Below are 25,486 nucleotides of genomic sequence, written 5' to 3'. Positions count from 1 at the left end.
ATAGCAGTTAATTAACAAAAAGTTACTTCAACCTTTCTGAGGAAAATAATTTGAAACTTTATTATAAATGATATTATTTATCCATAGAAAATAATCCCTTACAACTTCTAAGTGAGCTATAATTTGCAAATTGAAAATGTATGCTGGTATTCATCGAAACCATGTACATTTGTTAATATTTTAATGTCTTGCAATATATGGGATAAAACAAATTATAAAATGAAACATTCTAAATAAAATTCTATGACATTCTGCAGGAGCTGGTGACACAGTTATTATGGAAGGATAACTGATAGTCTTAAGTAAGTTGTTGAATATTTTCCCCTGTAAGTCTGTTGTTTTCAAGAACATAGTGAACTTACAAAATTACTCTAAGCTTCCTTCAATTTTATGAGCTCTTTCTAATAAAGAAATAATCTGATTACCATACACTGACAATGGATAATACATATTATTAGAATTAATACAACTTAGTTAAATTTTCACATCAAAATTCAATTTTTATTTTTCTTCTGTGTTATTCTACACCATTTCTGGTTAAATTACACTAAATGTTATCTCTACACATGAACTTAATAAGGATTATTTTCATAGCAACTAGTACAAGTTTTCAGTAAATAATAGCTTTAAAAGTGCTGTGTTGTTGGGATTATGTTTTGAGTTATTCTATTAACCCTAAGGGACTTTTATATTTATTTTTTCTTGGAAGGACTTAATTTGAAGAACAAAAGTAAAGATCAGATTTAAGTTAGAATAGGTGTTTCTCTTTTTTTTCTCTCTCGGAAATATCGACAGAGACACAGAGACTTGCTTGCACCCTGTGTTACATAATTGATAATTTAAAACTAAATTAAACCAATTATTTCCAGATATAATTGATATTTCAAAGACATTGTTTCCATTGGTAAAATATATTCATTCACATTTGCTTTCACAATTATTTATTCCTTAGGGATTATACCTATTTTGTTTACAGCCAGAAAATCACATGGGATTTACCCTACAGGGGCTATAGATTATTTAATTTTAATACAATTTAATTTTTATTCTTATTTATATATAAATATAATTTGATAATAAATAATGGGCAACAATTATTTTAGTTTTTATTTTCTCAATGAACATTTATTAAGTTTTCTAACGTGGTAATTATCCAGAAAGACATTGAACATAGACTAGTAAGCAAGCAGACATTGGCCCTGATCCCATGAAGGAAACATTTAATTAGGTAACATTACAATTTCATATAAGCGTAATTTTATCTTCTTATATGAATGCAGAAGACTAAGATAAGTGATAAGACAACACAGAGTTACACACATTAAAGTAGTAAACATCCGTGAATCTACCAAGATTTAAAGTGCTTCAAACACGTCATAGGGATAATCCACAGTATATAAAACGAGCATATAAAATGCTACCTTAGTTGAGAGAACAACCTTGAACAACAGAAAATGAACAGTTCTTTTAAGTATTTCTACGTTTCTGGGCCTTTTGATCCCTATTTTCCTGACGCCACCTTGCAGGTCTGGAATAAGCCTTTTAATTCTTCTTTTCCATGTGTTTTAGACATGTGTGGTTATTTTTCCAGCTTCTTCATTGATGGATTACATACTGTCCTTTTTTTTTATTTTCCATTTTGTCTAGAGAGCACAGCATCTATATTTATCTGTGTATAGACTGCACTTTGTCATACAGAACTACATTAATTTGATTTTTTTTTTTAAGATGGAGTCTCATTCTGTCACCTAGGCTGAAGTGCAATGGCAAAATCTCAGCTCACTGCAATCTCCGCCTCCCGAGTTCAAGCTATTCTCCTGCCTCAGCCTCCCGAGCAGCTGGGATTACAGGCGCCCGCCACCACGCCCAGCTAATTTTTGTGTTTTTAGTAGAGATGGGGTTTCACCATGTTGGTCAGGCCGGTCTCAAATTCCTGACCTCATTTATTTCCACAAAGCCCCCAGCTCTGTGTATCTTGTAAACAAATCATTGCCTTTTAAAAAAATGTTTCCTTAACTTGGAAGAACACTGCTACAGAAACCACTAGCATCAACAAAGATGCTCAGCACACAAAATGCTTAATTGCATCCTTGGAAGCCCTTTATAATCCTAATTTTTGAACCCAAATATATCATTTCATATGTATACAAACACACAGAGAAAAAGTGTATAATGCTAGCATAAAAATAGCACATAACTTGTGTTTCTTATTCATGAAGACTTAGAAATCAATTATACAGAGTAAACATGGATTCATTTCATTGGACTGACTTGCAACCTAAACAAGTGGTATAAGATAGAATTACAACAATTAATTAAACAACGTTACTTTTGAAATCTAGCAAGACCCAGGTTTAAAAAATAAATTAAATTCAGGGAGTAGATTACTATTAAATAACAATATGAAAATGTTGAACCTTAATTGTGATAAAGAAAATGCAAAAAATTACTACATAAATATAATTTTATAGCCACTATGTTAATGAAACTTATAGTTTGAAAGTACCAAAAATTAGCAAGTAAAATATAGTGGGAAGTTGTGAAATATTAATATTTAAGAGTTTAAATTTCTTAGCCACATTGGAAAATAATTATGCTTTATCTTGGAAAGTTGGATATGCCTACTCAGTAACTCCTTATTCCAGTTTTATGTATATTCATTAGAGATACTCATATATGCATGCCAAAAATGTTTAAAGTTGCTCATATTAACAATGTTTATAACAGCAAAAACTTAGAAACCTATCAAATATCTATCAATGTGGGAAATGTAAATTTTAGTAATAGAACACTTAGGATCTCAAAGGGAAAGGTAGAAAGAAAGCAAAATTTACAGATATATGTAGCAGTTGTTTGTGGTGAGGAAAAATAAAAAAGTAATTATAACTATGAGATATTTGAATTAAAATCTTATATATTATATTTCTAATTATAGTCACTTGTACGGAGGTTAGATTTTTAGATAAAACATTTGTGCTTGTGAATTTAGATAAATTAGTAAACAAGTTTACCAATGAAATAAATAGCTAATTTATATATTAGTATGAATTGTAAATTTAATATTGGCAATCAATCAATTCCCACTGGATTAAGGGAGACTTAAGTTATTTGTTTATTCTGCTTCTTGGACTTTTATTCTTGATCTGCTTTATACTTCAAGATTATAATAGAGCAATTTAGATAAGGCGTATTCACTCTTTGACAGTTTACTTGATATTCAGTCTTACACATTTTCTGTCCCTCAAAGAAGTGTTGCTATTGCAGAAAAGATTTTATAGGAGTAGGGAGGAGAGGTAGGAATAAGAAAAAGATCATGTTGGATGTAATTACCAGTTTATTACTGGAAGAGTTTTCCAGACAAAGTTGAGAAGTGGGAAATAGGAATAAGATGTGCAATGGCTGCTTTACTTGGTTGCTTATTCATATCTCCAGTTTTTACAATAATCATTAGAGATTCCCAGCATCCCAAAGCTACTGAATTTCTGAACTGCAGATTGATTCTGGTGATTTTTTTTTCTCCATCCTTCTTTTTGTCTAGACTTGAAGATCATTTTGTGAAAAATTTGTGAAGGGTCATTTTTATAAGACTTCATCAAATTTAATATAAATCAGTACTGGTAAATATTAAGCAAGCCTAAAAACCGAACAAAAGGAAAAAATAAGTTTTTAAACTCAGAAAAGGAACCACTATGAAATGTCAGAGCTTTCATCATCATATATATTCTTAATATATTTAGTAAAAGAAAAATAAAATAGTGTTAGTAAATATCTGATAACTCTTCTCAGGATTAAAGTAGACACTGCTATTATGGGGTTAACATAAGCAAACTTTTCTATGAAGTTTTTTACAAATGCTATTTGCAAATCTTCATCAGCCACCCATTCCTTAACACACTTCAAGGGGCTGCCTAAATAATTCTTCCAGAACTTACCTGGAGCAAGTTTATTAAAGACCTCATATCATGAATGCAATGAACATACCTTAATCCTAATTTGCCTTGCCCTGACTTTAGTACCCTATAAGGTTGGCGTTGTTTTTCTCTAAAAATATTATCTTGAATTTTCTATTTCTATTTCCGTAAAATGCCATTTTAACGTTTTCCTGCTATTTTTCTGGACATTCTTTTGTAGTCTCTTGTCAGCTTCTCTTCATGTATACATTCATTAATGATTAAAGTTTTTCTGAAATTTATAGTGGACGTTTAAAAAATTTTAGTGTGCATCTACTCTCATTATTTCAGTTGCAATCTCTTTGTGAGGCTCTCATATTCATATATCCAGTAGGGGTTGCTCTAGGGCCTAAATATGGAGCTTCTTATTGACATCCACTTTGAACTGTCTCAACAGCACTACCTATTTAACACAAATCTCCTCTCCAAACTTATATATTTTCTGTGTTCCCTAAATCAGAAAATTACACCATGGTTTACATAATGGTTTTCCCTCAGCCCCAAATCTGGAATTATTCTTGATTCTCTTATTTGACATCAATTATATTACAAATCCAATTTATTCTATATCATACATACCTCTGAAACCCACCCACCATTTTGTTCCTCATTGTCAAGTGGCCATCATTTCTCCTCTGGATTATTGTAATATTCTCTTAAGTGATGTTTCAAAATTAACTCTTCCTACTTTGTTATTTGTTCTTCATTCTTTAAGATCTCCTTTTGTAAATGTAAAACTGATGGTCATCTGATGTATAGAACAATTCAAGGCCTTCCTAGTGATATTTGAACAGACCCAAAATCTAGCCAATAATACCATCCAGGGGTTTCTTTCTGTCTAACTTTCTAGGATCTTTTCACGTATCTATTCCTGTAACTCTCCATACCTTAGCTATATTGACTTTCATTTGGTTCCCTTATTTGTCATGGTTACTTCAAGCTCTAAGTCAGTTTTTCTGTACCTGAAAAGACATTTAACTCTTACTATTCCTTTATATGGGTATTTGCGTGAGAACACAAACCTATATAGATTCTTCTGTTAATTCTTCACATAGAATGCTGAAATTCAATTCTTTATTATAATTGAAATTTATTACATGATAATAAATTATGTGATAATTTACATGTGATAATTTATGTGATAAATTACATGATAATAAATATATGTTTGATATGATATTGAAGCTTTCCATTAGCACAGCACTTGTGTTAGTCTTGTTCATCATTATAGTCTAAGTATAGAGCTTGATAAATTGTAGGCATTAAACAAAAAGATATTTGAATAAAAATGAATAAATCAGAAACCTCTATATAAAGAGAATAATTAAAAGTATTTCAATAAAGAAAAAACACAGAGGCCACATTTAATTTAAAAATTTACTAAACCTTAAAAGCAAAAAATGCATTATATTTTATTATTCTGAAATTAAATCTAGTGCAGGTGAGCCAGGGCCCACAGCCAGTGAGGTAAGAATTTAAAAAATCTTGAAGAAATTCAAAATGAAGCAATAATGTTCCCTAGAGTTTAGAAGACTAGTGTTTTTCAGGTGTATACATTTTTGAAATTTTATTTTTGTACTTTTAAAATTATTATTCAGATGTTATTGTACCAAATAAGCTGTATTTATATATTTTTAAGTCTATGCATATACGCAAATATCTATAAAATTTCTCTTCTAATAAAAATACTAATATATACACATTTAGATATTTTGTGTGTTTATCCAGTAAGTGTATTAATTCTAATTTTATGTTTAGCAGTTATTAATATTCCTTTTGCACAACATCACAGGTGTCATAGACAAACAGGTCCGGAACTAGGAATCCTATACTGGAAATGCTGTATACTGCCTTACACCGATTATACATTAATATATTTAAGCAATTCGTTGAATTCTTACTCACTAAATGTTCTTTTCCCATCTTCTGGCCTGGATCAGTGGGTCATGCCTATAATCCCAGCACTTTGGGAGGCCAAGGCAGGCAGATCATTTGAGGTCAGGTGTTTGAGACCAGCCTGGCCAACATGGTGAGACTTTGTCTTTAATAAAAATACAAAATTAGTCGGCGTGGTGGCACACACCTGTAATCCCACCTACTCAGGAGGCTGAGACAGGAGAATCGTTTGAACACAGGAGGCGAAGTTTACAGTGAGATAAGATCAGGCCACTGCACTCCAGCCTGCGCGACAGAAAGACTGTCTCAAAATAAATAAATAAAAATATAAAAGTAAATACATTTCCCATCTTCCAGTAGATTCCTGTTTTCAGAATTTATCATAAATCTATACTTTCTCGGCTTTCATCCTTTTAAACATCGTAGCCAATAACTTCTGCACTCCATTTTGTCTAATATAGTCATTGATGAAATGGGGAGTGATTCTCATAATTCTGAATATCTTATTATATTAACCTAGCGTGTTGATCTTACTGCCTGAAATATACTTTTAATCTTCAACTTTCTTGTATGAATTTAAAACATGCTTATTGTATTAGTATGACTCTTTTAGCATTCTAATATTGTTACATTTTACTCCTCTGATTAATACTAAGTAGGCTACAAAATACATTGTACTTTACACTAACATTTTACATACAGAATAAACATTTTATATACTTCTTTAGAACAAGTTACTAACATTTCTAGAAGCAATATAGTTGAAAGAATATAATGAAGTCCTTAAGTGCAAACTAGTTGATTTTAGATGTATTCAATGTTTCATAAAACATTCAATAAAAATAGCATTAATGTATTTTTAAAAGATATTAATACAAAGTCTGGAAATTTACATAGATTAATACATGAGAAGTAACTCACTTTTTGTTTGTAAAAAGAAAAATTATTTTTAAAGAGATAGTTTGGTCCTAAGTTGTGTCTTTTGGCTCATTTCATTGAAATGGTAAGCTTGATTAGCTCTTAAATTAATATTTTTTCAAAGAAGACATTATATAGACACAACAATAACCAAATACTCTTTTATTTATATATGTTAAAAGTCAAGTAAATAAGGTATACTCCAGCTAAACTGTAATACCTTCAGCGAAACATTTGTCCAATAAAACACTTTGGGTAAAAAGTTTGCTATTTTTTCCAAGTGCCATAACCAAGATTCATTTAATTAATGAAACTTTTAATGTAATTTCACCTTCTTTTCCTTTTTAGGTTAATAATTATCAAATATATGGCAATGCTGGACTTTAGCTGATCATCGTGCTTCTGGAAAACAACAAAAATTGAGATATCTGTTCACCACTTTGTGTGTCCAAGGACCACCTACTTTTTACATGTGACAAGAACTACCCACCTCCACTCTTCAGGTAAGACTTACTGTCACTCTGCCCCATGACTCCCCCACATCTTGGGGATGACTCCCTTGTACCTGAAGCTATACTACTCTAAGCCTCCTTTCTTTTTTTAAGATGTTTGCCATTTATGAATGTTTGCTGTATTGCAATAGCCTGAATAAAATCATCTTCTCAATTGTTCAGTACATATTGTGTGTGACAAAAGAAAGACAGGTTGTAATTTGGCATGTACTAATAATTTTAGTCTTTTTATTTATGAATTAGTCTATCTTTCCAAATGCATAATAAAATGTAATTTTTCTTTTTATTTCAAGAGGGAGTCTTGCTCTGTTGCCCAGGCTGGAGTGCAGTGACACGATCTTGGTTCACTGCAACCTCCACCTCTGGAGTTCAAGCAATTCTCCTGCCTCAACCTCCCGAGTAGCTTGGATTACAGGCGCCCACCACCACAACTGGCTAATTTTTGTATTTTTAGTAAAGATGAGGTTTCACCATGTTGGCCAGGCTGGTCTCGAGCTCCTGACCTCGTAACCTGCCCATCTTAGCCTCCCAAAGTGCTGGAATTACAGGCGTGAACCACCGCACCTGGCTGTAAAATGTAATTGTATATAAAATTATAGACATAAGTTTAAATAGTTATATATATATATATGTGTGTGTGTGTATAGACATGCAAATATACTGTATTAGTCTGTTCTCACGCTGCTAATAAAGACATACCCAAGACTGAGTAATTTATAAAGGAAACAGGTTTAATTGACTCACAGTTCCACATGGCTAGGGAAGCTTCACAATCATGGCAGAAGGTAAACGGGAAGAAAGACACATCTTGTACAGCAGCAGGCAAGAAAGCTTGTGTAGGGGAACCCCCTTTGTAAAACCATCAGATGTTGTGAGACTTATTCACTATCACAAGAACTGAATGGGAAAGACCTGCCCGCAGGATTCAATTACTTCCCACCAGGTCCCTCCCACAACACGTGGGAATTATGGGAGCTACAATTCAAGATGAGATTTGGGTGGGGACACAGACAAACCATATCATACACACACATTATTCACCTGAATTAAATAAAAGCAAGTAATAGAAAGAAGAGAAATACTAAAGTAATATGGAATACTTTTCATAAACTTTACATATATGTACACATTTGCAAACATACACAAACATAGTACATGGTGGCTACATAAAAAGATTACGTAGAAATAGGTAATTTAAATTTCTTCAACTAAATATAACTATTTAAAAATCCAAAATAGGTTCTTGAAATCTTTATATGTTTTTATTTGGGTTCAGCAAAATCCTTTGACTTTAAAATGTTAGCACCACAAAGCACCTCAGTAAGAGGATAATGAAAAACTTAAAGGTAATAAGTTCAGAAATCTCTCTCCATTTAAAAAGTTATTTATTTATAAAAATTTTATTTTCCTGCCAATAGAATACAGAAATAAAACTCAAATTTTGCTTAGTGAAATAGTGAATCCATATTCAAGGTATGGATTTTTTACCCTACCAAAGAGGTAATAATGAAGACATGTAGGTTTCCTATTCAGCCTTTGTACTCAAAGTTTAAATTCAAAAAAAGAGAGACCCTGTGTCTTAGAATACCTTCCCCTCTCCGAGCAACCGCATTATTGAAATTCAAACTGCTAACATTCTAAAATCCCCTTTTAAAATAAGGATAGAACATGCTGAAGAAAAGAGTTGCAATGAGAAAATATATGGGAACAAAATACCTATGCAATGCAGAAGTCTGCATAACTGAACCACTCAGAGGAAAAAGGTAAGTTTCCAAAGATCCAATAAAGTCGATTTTTAAAAATGTATAAATCAGTTCCTATGTTTTTGATCAAGTTAAATTTTCTCTGTCCTTAATCATATATTAAGATAATCTAAGATAAATTATCTTATATTTTGCAAAGCAGCCATAAGTAAAAAAAATATTGTAAGAATAATCAGCATATTAAATTCATGAAGAATTTTTAGAACATGAAGAATTTTTAGAAACTATATCTTCAAATAGAGTGTACAAAACATTTTCTAATAATTGTTGCTTGAAACTAAATATTTAAAAATTAATTTTTTAAAATTATAATGGAAGCATACTAAAGAATATACCTAAATAAATGTAGAAAACAGTTCATTGTTTTCTACTATCAAAAATAAACGTGTTTATATATTTATTCTAAAACATTGAAATTATATTAAATATGACAAAAATAATAGCCACAAGAGGCAGTTTTTGTAATTTTTTAAGGTTTAAGTGAGAACAAAATATTAAATAATAAATTTATTTGGTGAAAAATATATTAAATAGTCTATTGCAGCAGGGTGGGGCACCATTAAAGCCTCAAGTTTAATTTTTTTTTTTTTTTTTTTTGAGACAGTTTCCCTCCCAGGCTGGAGTACAATGGCGCGACCTCGGCTCACTGCAACTTCCACCTCCCAGTTCAAGCAATTCTCCCACCTCAGCTTCCTTAGTAGCTGGGATTACAAGTGCCTGACACCAGGCCAAGCTATTTTTGTATTTTTAGTAGAGACGGGGTTTCACCATTTTGACCAGGCTGGTCTCAAACTCCTGACCTCAGTCCATCGGTCCACCTCGGCCTCCCAAAGTGCTGGGATTGCAGGCATGAGCCACCGCTCCTGGCCTCAAGTTTAATTCTTAAGTGAGTCAATCAGTTATAGTTCTGTTCAAAGCTTTCAGTGCACCTAAAATTTCATCCAACATCTATTATCTTTCATCATATGCTAAAACAGCTTGAAGATGTATATGATTTTATAAAAAATAATCTATAAAACAAAACAACCAAATTAAGGGTTTACATTTTAAAGCACCAATATTCACCTATAGTTGGTGAATGTACAGTTAGAATGAAAAAAAATAGAATTTTGGTGAATTCTGAAATGGTTCCACCCTATCCAAACAAGTTGTATTAATGCATGTATACATTTCTTAATAGATAAAGTACTCGAATTGCTACAAATACAGAAGCTTACAAGTTTCCAGTGAGAATAGGCTCTGTCAAAAACTTTGCTGTATATTGATTAATTTTGTTACTATAAAACAAAAAGATATCTTTCAATTGAAAAATATCAAATGCAAAGTTTTGAATTATAAAAGCAGCTTCAAGCAAATAATAATTTTTACCCAGCATCAAAATTTACATATTTAAAGGGCATAAGCAAGCATTGGGCACAGATAAAGCATTCTTTTCCCGGAGGATCCCAAAACCAACAGACGGAGCAACAAAAACTCATTTTCCTCCTATATTAACATGTATTTCAATTTTGGATTAAGAAGTTTTGACAATGTGTGCAGAAACACAATTCACAAAAGGAAACTATTATGGTTTTGGAGACTTTTTCTTTTATATACTGTTGATTGCATTGAGAAAAAAATTATTTATGGGCTTCTCCCTATTTTCAAGCCAGCCAGCTATCCTAAATTCATATGTTTTATTTTAAATTATAACAAATCAAGACCATGATATTATCGTCTGCTCCAGACAACAGCCTTTCCCTAGTTTATACCATTAACATTTTATTAATGGTATTTATATTTGGTATTAGTAGGAGGTCATTATAATTTTACAGGAATGTCTAATTGAGATAATTAATTCACTCTTTTATGTTAATACTTTTCTACCTAGCATCACATAAGATAATGGAGGTGTGATTTTTTTCAGTAATTTTTGCTAGTTTAATAAATGACTTAATCCTCCTCATCCATATTCATTTTGAAATTATACTTAGTATTTTAATATAAAAGAATAAGATAGCATAATACTGAATCTTCTATGCATTACATTTCATGATTCTTTAATATTGTTTTGATCAGAGAATAAAGAAAAATATCTTCGACTAGTTTTGATATCCTGAAAGTTTATCATGTTTTTTTCCTCACCTAGACTGAATAACCTCTGATTTGGGGAAGTCCTTAATACTTTTACTTTAATTATAAAATTAATCGTAGATTATCTCTTCATATATGTATGTGTTTGTGTGTATGCATGTGTGTGTAGTAAATCAAAATAAGTTGAAAAACAATATTCTCTGATAACCTCTAGATATTACAAACTAATTTTTCTCTGGATAATTTATAGAATTTATATTTTCAAGTAAATTGTATTTTTCAATTGGCTATACCACCACTGGCAAGCTCAAAGTCTCCCCATAAACTCTTCATGGGCCTGTGTGCAATGGAAGATGATATAGAGGCCAATATTTTCCCCTTTGACTGTTGGTAATGGATAGGCAAGAGGCTTGCCAAAAAAAAAAATCAGATCTTATCCCTCAGATTCCAAATCCCATAAATACACAGATGCTGTCCCAAATATCAATAGGTTGAAATTGAAATCTGAAAAGCCTTTGTGATAAGATGTCTCTAAATTGGCTCCTACATATCTCTATTTCTGGTATTTGTACCTCGTGAAATGTTCTCTTTTTGAGTGTGTCCTGGACTCTTTGAGATGCTAATAAGTAATAAAATACTGCATATATAATGAGACATTACTTGGAAGACTACTTTACAAAATTGACTGTTGACTTTCATCTAAGGTGCTCTTCCTCACTCTCTGGCTTGCTCACTTTCTGGGAAGACATTTGTCATACAGTGAGATACCCTACGAAAAGTCTAAAATTGCAAGAAGTGAGAGGCTCCAGACAATAGCCAGGTAGAAACTGAGGCTGTTCATCCAACATCTTTGAGGAACTAAATATTGCCACGAACCAAATAAATGAACTTGACATTCCACCCTCCCCAGGTTGCCCTTCAGATAAAACTCCAGCCCTGGACAACAGTGTGATTGAAAAAACAAGAAACTTTAGCCAGAGATATTCAGCTGAGCCACATTCAGCATTCTGTCATTAGAAACTTTTGTTTTAAGGTGATCAATTTGGAGTAAATTGTTATGTAGCAACAGATAACTGATATAATCTTCTACGCATTTTTAGGATATATGGAGCTTAAGGGAAAAAAATGCTATTTTATAGAGATACAGTGAGAAAGTGCAGAATGGCATGCACAGGTGGAAAGTAATTAGGGAATTGGGGCCTGTGAATATAGTTAAACTGTTTGAGTCTTTTAGGTACATATTTGCTTTAATGAGATAAATACATTTTAAAAGTCCAGGATGGCAGAGACATTTATATTTTTTATTCAATTATCTCATATTTTATTTCAGTGTTAACTACCCATCTATGGCAAATTAATTATGCTCATTGGATTATTTTACTTTTATTCAAATTTTGTTATCTGGTACTTATTATATGGAATATGCAAATCGAAGTCCTGTCCTTCAGCAATCAATAAGGTAAAGGAGAAGAAAGACAAAAACGAGTAGAATTTTATGATAATTTAAGATACAAACAGACTTTGCTTTGCATGAGAGTGTGAGACCATAAAAATTTACTATGAAAGCTGAAACTGTGGCAATAAACCTTAATAATCAATGGGGAAAATTATGATTGTTCCATGACCTATAAAATATTTGTTAAAAATTTTAAAATGCTCTTAGTGTGGGTGATAAAATATATAGGGAAATAAAAAAATAGTAAAACTAATATTTATTTAGTACACTGTAATTTTTAAAATTAAAAAATTGTTTTCTTTGTAAAAAAAATCTCATCAAGAATATTTTGAACATTGATTGCCTTGTGGTTGTATAACTTACACCACTAAGCAAGCATCTTTTTGTATGTCTTGGAGAATTGTTATATTCCTTTCTAAATTTGGATCAGCCCCCAATATTTTATTCTTTACACTTTCAACATTAAGAAATATCTCTGAGAGTTATAGGAATGTGAAGTTTTGTGTTGTTTTTACTTTCTGTGTGTCATCTCTAGCCTTTTACCGTAATCAGCTTCTTTATTTACATTGATAAGTTCACCTTCACTAAATTACTCTGGCTGCTTATTTAGAGCCTTTCAAGCAGTGGCAGTGTCATCATTGCCACAATCTGTCATTTCACCTGTAAAATCTATATAGTGTTATACAAATATTATATATTATATAGATATTACATATAATATTATAATATATTATATATGTGAAAGGAAAATAAACCTCAGGACCCGCAAATCACTAAGCCAAAGGAAAAGTCAAGCTGGGAACTATGTCAGACAAACACACTTTCCATTATATTTCTAAATATGATTGCTAAAATATAAAAAGCTACATATCTTTCTCACAATTTGCCCACAAGGAAATTCCTTTTGGGCAAAGGACAGACGGAACTCGAAGTCATCCCTCTGAGGCTCACCTGAGACAAATGCATATCTGATTACTTCCTCTGCCCTATTGTTTATGTAAAAATGCAGATTCACTGAGCCAGACTAAATTGTGTGTTCATTGGAAGGCTGATCAAGAGCTCAAATTATGTATTCAGTGGAAGGCTAATCAAGGACTGAAAATAATGCAACCTTTTGACTCTCATCTACTTCTAACTTGGAAGCCCCCAGTTAGAGTTGTCCCACATTACTGGACCAAAAGAATGTATATCTTACACATATTGATTAATGTCTCTTGTTTCCCTAAAATGTATAAAAGCAAGCTGTATCCCCCCACCTTGGGCACATGTCATCAGGACCTCCTGCAGCTGTGTCACAGGCATGTCCTTAACCTTGGCAAAATATTAAATAAACGTTCTAAATTGATTGAGACTTTTCTCAGATACTTTTTTGTTTACATAGGCAATAGTGTATATAATACAATAATGGTATTATACAACTAATATACACTATACTCTATTAAAATACTATATTATATTAATATATAATGGTATTATGGATATAATATATGGTTTCATTTTTATAAGATGTCATGTAAGCTTATCACTCGGAGAAAAGGGAACAACACTACACATTTGTTATCTGTGTGTAAACTGAATCACAAGAAAAGCCGTGATTAGTCATTGATCAGGACATGACTCTGTTGCATACATGGTAATTTGTGGGCTGCAGAACCAGCAGCAAAGTTTATACTTTGTGCAATTACAGTTTACATTTTGTGGTAGTTAAAAATTGCACTTTGTTGTTTGGGGAATGGTGTTATTTTCTCTAAATCATGGAAACTGAAATTTGCACATATCAGTTCCATGAAGAGTGAGGTTTTATTTATTTAAAACCTGTACTTTGAGAACATCAAAGCCTAAAAAAAATAGTAGCTCCTTCTATTTAAACTTAATTTTCTGGAGGAAATGGTTAAATCAGCATGTGCAGGTTGCTCAAACTCTACATATTCAGAAAAACAGAGTAGTTTGACAGTTTAGGAAAAAGATAATCTCTGAGACCTTAGAATATTTTGTTTGTTTGATAAGTGAGTTTATGTATCCCTAAAGCTTTGGTCCTGAAGGACCAGTGTGATCAGGTAATTTATGCTTACACTGTGATTTATGGTGTCTGAATGTATTCATCCTAAGGGACTGGAACCTGAGTAGCTGAAGTCAGTCATGCAGCGACTAGATGCCTATGTGGTAGGCCCCTATATTAGTCCACTCTTATGCTGCTAATAAAGACATACCCAAAACTGGGTAATTTGTAAAGAAAGGAGCTTTAATTGACTCACAGTTTAGCATGGCTTGAGAAGCCTCAGGAAACTTACAATCATGGCAAAAGGAGAAGCAAACACATCCTTCTTCACATAGCAACAGCAAGGAGAAGTAAAGAGCAAAGAGAAAAAAGCCCTTATAAAACCATTAGATCTCATGAGAACTCACTCACTATCAGAAGAACAGAAGCATGAGGGTAACCATCCCCATGATTCAATTACCTCTCACTGTGTCCCTCCCTCCACACATGGGATTATGGGACTACAATTTAAGATGAGATGTGGGTGAGGATACAGCCAAGCCATACCATTTTATCCCTGGCTCCTCCCAAATCTCATATCCTCATAATTTAAAACACAATTGTGCCTTCCCAACAGTCCCCCAAAGTAATAACTCATTCCAGCATTAACTCAAAAGTCCAAGTCCAAAATGTCATCTGAGACATGGCAAGTCTCTTCGAACTATGAGACTGTAAAACCAAAGCAAGTTCATCACTTCTTAGATACAATGAGTTACAGGCATTGGGTGAATGTACCCATTTCAAATGGAAGAAATTGGCCAAAACAAAGAGGCTACAGGGCCCAAGCAAGTTTGAAATCCAATAGGGCAGTCATTAAACCTTAAAGTTCCAAAATAATCTTCTTTGATTCCACATCTCATACCCAGGTCTGGTGAATGCTAGAGGTGGGCTCCCATGGCCTTGAGCTTTGGCTCCCTTGTGGCTTTGCAGGGTACAGCCCCACTCCCAGTTACTTTCACAAGCTGGCATTGAGTACCTGAGGATTTTCCAGGTGCACAGTTCCAGCTGTTGATGGATCTACTGTTCTGGGTTCTGGAGGATGATGTCTCTCTTCTCACAGCTCCACAAGGCCATGCAAGCAGGGAGTCTGTCAGGGTTTATCACCTAACTCTGTCTGGGGTTATGACCCCACATTTTCTTTCTCCACTGCTGTCACAGAGGTTCTCCATGAGGGCTTCATCCTGTAGCAAACATCTGCATTGGCTTCCAGGCATTTCCATACATCCTCTGAAATCTAGGTAGACGTTCCCAAACATCAATTCTTGACTTCTGTGTATCTGCATGCTCAACATCATGTGGAAGCTGCCAAGGCTTGGTTTTTGAACCCTCTAAAGCCACAGCCTGAGTTGTACCTCTACCCCTTTTAGCCATGGCTGGAGTGGCTGGGACATGGGGCACCAAGTCTCTAGGTTGCACACAGCAGATGGTCCCTGGGCCCAGCCCAGGAAACCATTTTTTCCTCATAGGCCTCTGAGCCTATGATGGAAGGGGCTACTGTGAAGGTATCTGATATGCCCTGGGGACATTTTTCCCATTGTCTTGGTGATTAACATTCAGCTCCTTGTTACTTATGCAAATTTCTGCAGCAGCCTTGAATTTCTCCCCAGGAAGTGGGTTTTCTTTTCTATCCCATTGTCAGGCTGCAAATTTTTCAAACTTTTATGCTACCCTTGAATGCTTTGCCACTTAGAAATTTCTTCTGCCAAGTCCCCTAAATTATCTCAAGTTCAAAGTGCCACAGATAGCTAGGGCAGGAATACAATGCCACCAGTCTCTTCACACAGTAAAAATGACCTTTACTTCAATTCCCAACAAATTCCTCCTATCTGTCTGAGACCACCTCAGCTTGGACTTCATTGTCCATATCAGTATCAGCATTGTGGTCCAAGCTATTCACTAAGCTTCTAGGAATTTCCAAACTTTTCCACATTTTTCTGTCTTCTTCTGAGCCCTCTAAACTCTTCCAACCTCTGCCTGTTACCCAAGTCCAAAGTTGCTTCCAAATTTTGGGGTAACCTTATAAAAGCACCCCACTCTCTATCACAAGAAGAGCAGCATGGAGGTAACTGCCCCCACGATTCAATTACCTCAGACTGGATCCCTCCCACGATATGTGGGGATTATGGGAATTACAATTCAAGATGAGATTTGGGTGGGAACACAGTCAAAACATGTCAGCCTCCAATTTAGACTTTGGACACCCAAAGCTTCATGAGTTTCTTTGATTGATAACACTTTAGCTTTCCATGTGTTGTCACAAGTTGTTGCTGGGAGATCTAAACAGGTCATTGAAACTCTACCAACAGAAGACACCTAGAAGCTTGAGTCTGGTTTTACTTGGACCTTGTCCCACAGACCTCTTCCTTTTGCTGATTGTAATCTGTATTCTTTCACTCTTAAAAATGTAAGCATGAGGCCAGGCGCGGTGGCTCACGCCTGTAATCCCAGCACTTTGGGAGGCCGAGGCGGGCGGATCACGAGGTCAGGAGATCGAGACCATCCCGGCTAAAACGGTGAAACCCCGTCTCTACTAAAAATACAAAAAATTAGCCGGGCGTAGTGGCGGGCACCTGTAGTCCCAGCTACTTGGGAGGCTGAGGCAGGAGAATGGCGTGAACCCGGGAGGCAGAGCTTGCAGTGAGCCGAGATCCCGCCACTGCACTCCAGCCTGGGCGACAGAGCGAGACTCCGTCTCAAAAAAAAAAAAAAAAAAAAAAAAAAAAAATGTAAGCATGAGTATAACAACTTTCCTGAGTGCCTCTAGTGAATCACTGAGCCTGAAGGTGATCTTGGAGACCCTTGAAATACCTGTTTATCTTCTGTCTTATGGCATTCCATCCTCTTCTTAAGCATTCTTTATTTTATATGAGAATAAATATATATATACACACTTTATGTATATATATAAAAGTATATATGTATATATAATAAAATATATATATAAGACTTAAGACATATATATACATAAATATATACATAAATACACATATACACATATATATACATAAAATATATATATACACATAAGACTTAAGAAATATATATACATAAATATATACATAAATACACATATATACATATATACATAGAATATATATATACATAAGACTTATATATACATAAGACTTAAGACATAAAATATATATACATAAGACTTAAGACTATATATGTAGTCATATATATTTTATGTATATATAAATATATATACATAAGACAAGACTATATATAGTCATATATATTTTATGTATATATAAATATATATATGACTTAAGAAGACTAAATATATATTGTATGTATATATATACATACATAAAATATATATATATATGTTTTCTTTTTCAACTTTTATTGTAGGTTCTAAGGGTATATACGCAGGTATGCACGTTTGTTACATGGGTAAATTGCATTTCTCTGGGCTTTGGTGCACAAATGACTTCATCACCCATGTAGTGAGCATTGTACCTGATAGGAGAGTTTTTAACTCTCACTCTCTTCCTACCCTGCAAACTCAAGTAGGTTCTGGCATCTATTGTTCTTCTCTTTCTCTTTGTGTCCAAACATATACAAGTTTAGCTGTCACTTATAAGAAAAGAAAACCAAATACTGCATGTTCTCTCTTGTAAGTGAATTAGGATAATGGCCACCAATTCTTTTTTTCTTTTTTTTTTTTTTGAGACGGAGTTTTGTTCTTGTTGCCCAGGCAGGAGTGCAATGGTGCAATCTCGGCTCACCACAACCTCTGCCTCCTGGGTTTGAGCGATTCTCCTGCCTCAGCCTACCGAGTAGCTGGGATTGCAGGCATGAGCAACCACACCCGACTAATTTTTGTATTTTTAGTAGAGACCGAGTTTCTCCATATTGGTCACGGTGGCCTCGAACTCCCGACCTCAGGTGATCCGCCCGCCTCGGCCTCCCAAAGTGCTGGGATTACAGGCATAAGCCACCATGCCCGGCCTCTACCAAAATTTTTTTATAGAAAAATGCAACAGTCATGATCCTTACCCACATGAAGCCTGATGAGAAAATAGAAAATTGGAGTAAACAATCACATTAACAAAAATGTGGTATTATTTTCAACTGGGTTAGTGCTGGCTGAGAAAAATAGAAGTTGATGCAATTTTAGGTAGGGAGGAAACATTTAGGAAAGTATCATGTGAACAGGTACTAGGATAAATTATGGGGACAGTAGGACGTAAGAACAATAACTGAAACAACTCTGAGATGAGGATATTGAAAAAGCCATTGTGGCTTAAGCAGATTTAGTAAGAATCAGATTTGTAGAAAATATGTTTAGAGAGGTAGGTGTAGGCCAATCATGGAGGACTTAGCTGAGTATAAAAGCCATTCTTTGTTTTATATGTATGATGAAAGTAACAAAAGTTAATTTACATGTTAAATATATGATTATGGCTTCTCTGTATAGGATAAAATAAGAGAACTGGTTAGCAGTATGGAGATTAAAAAGACAACAAAATTTAAGTGAAGATATCCAGCTACAGTTACAGCTACAACTTGCAAGACTCTGTAATTTCACATATGTCAATAGAGATGTATATGTGGGAATACTTACCATATAATTATATTAAAATGCATAAGATTATTTTTAAAAAGCATCCAGAATAATTGTGGAGCATGTTCAGTAATAAGAAGTGAAGTTCTTCAACATTTTAAAGGCAAGAAACATATTTAAGTGGAGTTTCCAAAGTGGTAGGAAAGAAACCTTGATTATATGGAGAAATATTTCCAAGTAGAAGGCAAGGCTAACTGTGTCAAAAGCTCTGTGGTGAAAAACATGTCGAAGATTGAAAAGCAGCCATTAAATCACTCTCTGCGGATAACCTTCCCTCTCAGGTTCATATTCATTCACCTATTCAACGATTATTTCCTGAGCTCCTGTCCTGTGTAGAACCCTGTTCTAGGCACTTAGGCTATATCACTGAATAAAGTATCTTGTTATAAAAGATAACTATATAAGTAAAAGAAAGAAGTACAACTACATGAATAAAAGAAAGAAAGAGTAATATAAATCAGAAGTATAAGTAAAGAGTAATATCCCTAGTGTGATTAGTTATAACCTTCAATGAAAGAGTAACATGTGAGTAAAGACTTGAAAGAGATGAAGAAGTTATTCATGACAATATAAAATCTAAGTGTGTTCCAGGAATATTTCTAGTGCATGCATCATAAGGTGAAAGTGTGCCTAGAGTATTGCAGGAGGAGTAAGGATACCAATGTGCTCAGAACAGAGTGAAAGGGGAAATTACCAAGATAGGTCTCAGAGAAGACAATTACAAGATCTGGTATTTACTCTGCATGACACGAAAAAACATTGCAACATTTTGAGCGGAATGACAGTATCACATTTATTTTTCAAAGACTATCTGCAATAGAATCAATTTTTCTGGGGTAAGAATTAAAACAAAGAGCATTAATTAATTGGCAGCTTATTACAGTAATCCAAGTAATAACTCATGGTGGGTTGTTCCAGGATTATAGCAGTGGAAGAGATAAAGAAGGGTCATATTTTGTTTATATTCTTAAAAACAGACTCAATACAATTTCCTGATGGACTGAACATGGATTGCAAAGGGAGTCAAGAATGACTCCATTGTTCTTAATCTATACAACTGTAAAGGCAGTTTTAGTAAACTGAAGTGGGGGCTGTGGATGGAGCAGGTTTGGGGGTGATGGTCAAAAAGTCAGCTTTTGATTTATTAATATTTAGGTAATAAAACAGCCATTCAAATAGCAAAGTTAATAATGTAGTTGAATATAACAGTCTAGATTTTGGTAGAGAGATTTGAGTTTTAGAAAATAGCATGAATAAGCAGGAATAATATAATTCCATGTTGTCATCATTTACTGGCAGTAACATCCATCCTTTTCTTTTCTTCTGTAATGAATGGCATGACCCTTCCCTGAATATAGCCTATTCTTTCCCCAGCATTTCCTCTACCTCCTGGGTTCGAGCGATTCTCCTGCCTCAGCCTACCAAGTAGCTGGGATTGCAGGCATAAGCAACCACGCCCGGCTAATTTTTGTATTTTTAGTAGAGATGGAGTTTCTCCATATTGGTCAGGGTAGCCTCGAACTCCCGACCTCAGGTGATCCACCTATGTTTCTTGAGTTTAAAATGTTGAAGAACTTCACTTCTTATTACTGAACATGCTCCACAATTATTCTGGATGCTTTTTAAAAATAATCTTATGCATTTTAATATAATTATATGGTAAGTATTCCCACACATACATCTCTATTGACATATGTGAAATTACATTCTTTCCCCAGAATATACCCAGCATTCTATCCCCAATCTTCAGAATAATTATTGCGCCATTTTTTCCACTTACTTTTTCTCATGTATTAAAAGGATTTCTCTGGTAGAGATTAAAGCTTCTGGTTAAAAAAAAAAAAAATCAGTTGTTTTACGTCTGTTCCTTGAATCCACTGACAACATCAAAGCCAAAAAGAAAATGGAGGAGAAATGTTTCTCCTTCTTTGCAGTTAGGAAAAATGTCATAACTCCAATCATGATCAATGAAGCATAGCTGAGAAATAATTTGAAACACCATGCAAAAGAGGAAAGATACTTAGAGCCAACATATATTTTCCTGGGAATACATTCTTGTATCTTGAGCAAGGCAAATTTTTTTTTTTTGTTTTTAAGTAAAAACATTTGTTCTTAAATGCCCATCTGTGTCTCAATGTTAGCAGTATGTCTTTTTGGTAGGAAATAACCAGAACATTGCAGGATGTGTAGCTCCTTTGAGTTCACATCCTAAATGTCAATAGTATCAACTTACATTGTCACAAACAAATCTGGCTCTAAGTATTGCTAAACTCATTTGGAGAGCTGTACTCTGTACTGTTCTAAATGTTAAATGGTATTATTTACAGTTACTTGTTTTAGGCTCGTAATTGGCATATCAAAATGGAAAATGAGCTCAGGTTCAAGTTCAATAAGTGGCAGGCTTACTGATAGCAGAGGAAAAACTGTGTAGAAATACCACCCTTATTGTCTATGACATAGGCTTCTAATTATAAGACACTAGAGACATTGACATCTACTTAAAAAAAGGAAGATATGATCACAGAAAAGCTATCACATAAAAGGTCTACAGTATAAAATACATCAACAGTTACGAAAAAACAATGACAGAAAACATGCAAATATTTATGTTAGTTATTTATAAATAAATGGCATTATAGGACAGTTTAATTTCTCTCTTTATACTTTTACATTTACAAAATTTCACAGTGTGTGTGTATGTATATGTATTATAAAAAAATAAATTTAGCAAAGTATCTTGTAAATTTAGTGATGAGAATATGTTATTAGAGTCTTTCAGAAGCAACTAATGTTAGTATAATTTATATTGTTTAAAATACATTGGTAGATTAAATATATTTGTAATTATAAAATAGAAACATAATGCACACCTTAACCTTAATAACTATAATGTCATCTAAAGAGAAGATCAAGTAAATGTGTTATTGGAATAAATTATTTGATAATTTAGTGAATAAAATGATAGAATTTGCATTTGCAGTTTTTTTGGAACTTAAAACAGTTTAATTAACAGGCTAGCCTTGACACAAGAGTATATAGAAAAATAAGTCAAGTGACATTGTAGTAATTAAAGCCAAAAACATTTAAAAAATTAAGTTAATATTAATCACAATATTTTTATTATAAATATGGTACAACCGTGCACTATATAAGAATGTTTCAGTCAATGATGGACTGCATATATGACTGTGGTTTCATAAAGTTATAATATTATGTTTTTATTGGACGTTTTCTATGCTTATATACACAATGGTAAGTACCACTGTCTTACTACAACTGCCCACAGTAGTCAGTACAGTAATGTAATGTACAGGGTTACAAACTAGGAGAAGTAGGCTATTCATATACCTTAGGAGTGCAGTAGGCTACACCACCTAGGTTTGTGTAAGTACATCCTATGATGTTCATACAGTGACAAAAATCTCTTAACAATGAATTTCTTAGAACATATTCCTATCCTCAAGCACAGGATTTTAAAATGACTGCATTTTAAAAATTTTCTAAGTAGTATTTCAACACCAGAAATTATGATCAGGAATGTTGATAAGGAATAAGAAAACAGGTAATAGATTTAAGCAGTCTAATTTTTAATCTCAATCAATACATATGTTGTATAAATCATCTAAGTCACAGAGGTAATCAAATATTCATATTTCATGGGAAGTATGAATAATAACTATTGTTTTATATATTCTTGTTTATGCTCTAAATTTATTTGTAAGGAATAAAGATATTGTCAGAATAAAAACATCATTTCAATATGCTTAAAATTCAATTAACTCTCTTTTGGCAGAATCAATGAGACAATAATTATAAGACACGAGCATACAATAAGCCAATTCTTGAGAAGTGGATTTTATTCTTCTTCAGTCAATATGGAATCAGGATGATTGACAGTGTATTGAAATTTCATTTTTATGACACTTTTAAAACTGTCATTTCTGGAATAGTAGAGTTAAAGATCTGCAATAAAATAAAAAACTACTGTTTACAGCAATCAGAGAAGTAGCATGTATTTTAATCTTAGCACTGTGAAATGCTCTGAGAGCTCATTCACCCATTGACATTTACAGTTTGTGAATCAATTTGTAAACAATAGTGCCTGCCTATATAGTTAGTTGGTTCTGTGAAATTTTACTTCAAGAACATTTTATGGGGTATTTAGGAGATCATACATCCCTTTATTAATTTTGGTCACCATTTTCAAACTTCTGTGTTTTTACCCTTCCATTTTCTGCAGATTGCCATTTCAGGACACCTCCTACATCTGAGGAAATATGCATTGATCTTGCAGTACTTTTCTCCTCCAAATAAAAGTCAGTATGATAACAACTACACTATCAGAAGTGAGTTTATGGGTAGCGTTAACCACCTTGTTTATCATCCAAACTGGGACACTTATGGTACTTCATTGCAGCAGGCATAAATTGAGACTTTTCCGGGGAAACTGAAGTGTTTGTTCACTACATTTATAGCACATTTTAAAAACTGAAAAACAATTACACTGCTTTTTGCCTCCATGTGTCATAAGAGACAATTGACTTGAATCCCAAGGGTTGAGCCACAGCCGACAAATTTGACTTATATTTAGTTATAAAGTTTATGTAACAGGTCATTGGATATCCAAACACGTATTCTAGAACTGGAGAAGAAACTCCACCTTCGTAGATGACATTGAATGCAGCTACTAATTATGGTATCTCTAGTTTGGTTTTAAGAGAATAGTTGGGACTATAAATTGCTTCTCATGGAACATATAGCGAACATATTATATCAACTTATCCTGAAAAAAGGTGTTGTTCAATATCGACGTATTAAGCAATATTGTCCCTTTGTGTTAAACATGTGAAAGGCACCTCAAATTCACATTATTCTGATTATGTCTACACAGTGCTTATGGGCGCTGAGATTCTTCATGTGAAAAATAGTAATAACTTTTAAGGCAACTACTAGGCGGTAAAATAAGGCAAATACTGATAATTACTACTAAAGCAGCTACTAAGCAGTAAGATAAGGTACATGTGCAGCTATGCACATTTTATAGTGCCATATGTGAAGATTAAACAAATTTCAAGCATGTAGAATGTTGAGTGAGAAGTAGTAACAATTGAACTATGGTATGTTAAAATTCTTATGTGAAAAATATTATATCCATAATTTAAATATTTGTTTTGCTTTCATCAAATGACACAAATTGGCCTTTTCTTTATATGCTACAGTTATGAGTGTAACAGTTCTTAGAGATAAAAAATTGTTTAAATTATGGCATAAAGGGGCCATTCACATTAGACACACATGGGTAGATATTTTCTAAATTTGGGATCATTTATTACAAAGTTGTTACTAAGCTTGTTTTAAGTCAATCTCCAGTGACAATTGAAAATGAGGAGATACACAAAAATTTAAACATTTTTTGCCTAGAAATTAAAATAAATTTAATTAACATTTTGGATTATTTCCAAGTCCACATTTCTAATAAGTAAGAAAACATTAGGCTGGGCGCTGTGACTCACACCTGTAATCCCAGCCCTCTGGGAGGCCGAGGTGGGCAGATCACGAGGTCAGGAGATAGAGACCATCTTGGCTAACATGGTGAAACCCCGTCTCTACTAAAAACACAAAAAATTAGCCGGGCGTGGTGGCAGGTACCTGTAGTCCCAGCTACTTGGGAGGCTGAGGCAGGAAAATGGTGTGAACCTGGGAGGCGGAGCTTGCAGTGAGCTGAGATCGCACCACTGCACTCCAGCCTGGGTGACAGAGCGAGACTCTGCCTTAAAAAAAAAAAAAAAAGAAAACATTTAATGCAGTGACCTTCTAAGTGTTTTTCCAGTATCTTTTAAAGTGTGGACCCAAAAAAGCAAACGCATATAGTGTTTTTCATATATAACACACTGTTTGACTTTATTTTTTAAGTATTATAAGATTATGTTTACACAGAAAGAAAGTTTTCTATACACTTAATATTAAGCATTTGTGACTAATTCTCAAAGGATATTATTGACTTTTCTTATGCTTAAGAAATAGTAAATGTAAAATGGAGGAGCAATTTTAAATAACTATTAGGTTTCATATAATAGGAATACATTTTAGTGGTCTTATAATTTATTTACTGATTTATCTTTGAAGAATTGAAAATAGTAATGTTTTTATTTTACATATTTATCTTTCATTTCTCAGGTCTAAGCCAAAGGACACTTCAGTTATCCAATCTTGCAACAAATACATTTAAGCACTTAATATGGGCTACTGTTGGTACTAGGGGCATTGAGAACTTCAGATTTGATTAACACCCAAGAGCTGCTACCATAAA

The 25,486-nt window shown here is 33.5% G+C and overlaps 1 long non-coding RNA gene across 2 annotated transcripts in view; it reads left to right on the top strand.

Annotated features, from left to right (window-relative positions):
- Positions 1–23,508, top strand: part of LINC01676 (long intergenic non-protein coding RNA 1676) — a 29,242-nt gene extending 5,734 nt beyond the window's left edge. Inside the window, exons 2-4 of one of the 2 annotated variants that reach the window (NR_125955.1) lie at positions 7,113–7,267; positions 8,937–9,039; positions 23,417–23,508. This is a non-coding gene — a long non-coding RNA (long intergenic non-protein coding RNA 1676). Of the gene's footprint in view, positions 1–7,112; positions 7,268–8,936; positions 9,040–9,643; positions 11,051–23,416 lie in introns of those variants that run through there. The other variant, NR_125954.1, reaches the window with a different exon arrangement.
- The last annotated feature ends 1,978 nt before the right edge of the window (positions 23,509–25,486 follow it).

The sequence above is a fragment of the Homo sapiens genome, chromosome 1 (assembly GCF_000001405.40).
Source record: "Homo sapiens chromosome 1, GRCh38.p14 Primary Assembly".
In the NCBI taxonomy this organism is placed as follows: domain Eukaryota; kingdom Metazoa; phylum Chordata; class Mammalia; order Primates; family Hominidae; genus Homo; species Homo sapiens.
Note: the sequence above shows the minus strand (reverse complement) of the source record. Positions and strands in the feature narration are given on the sequence as shown.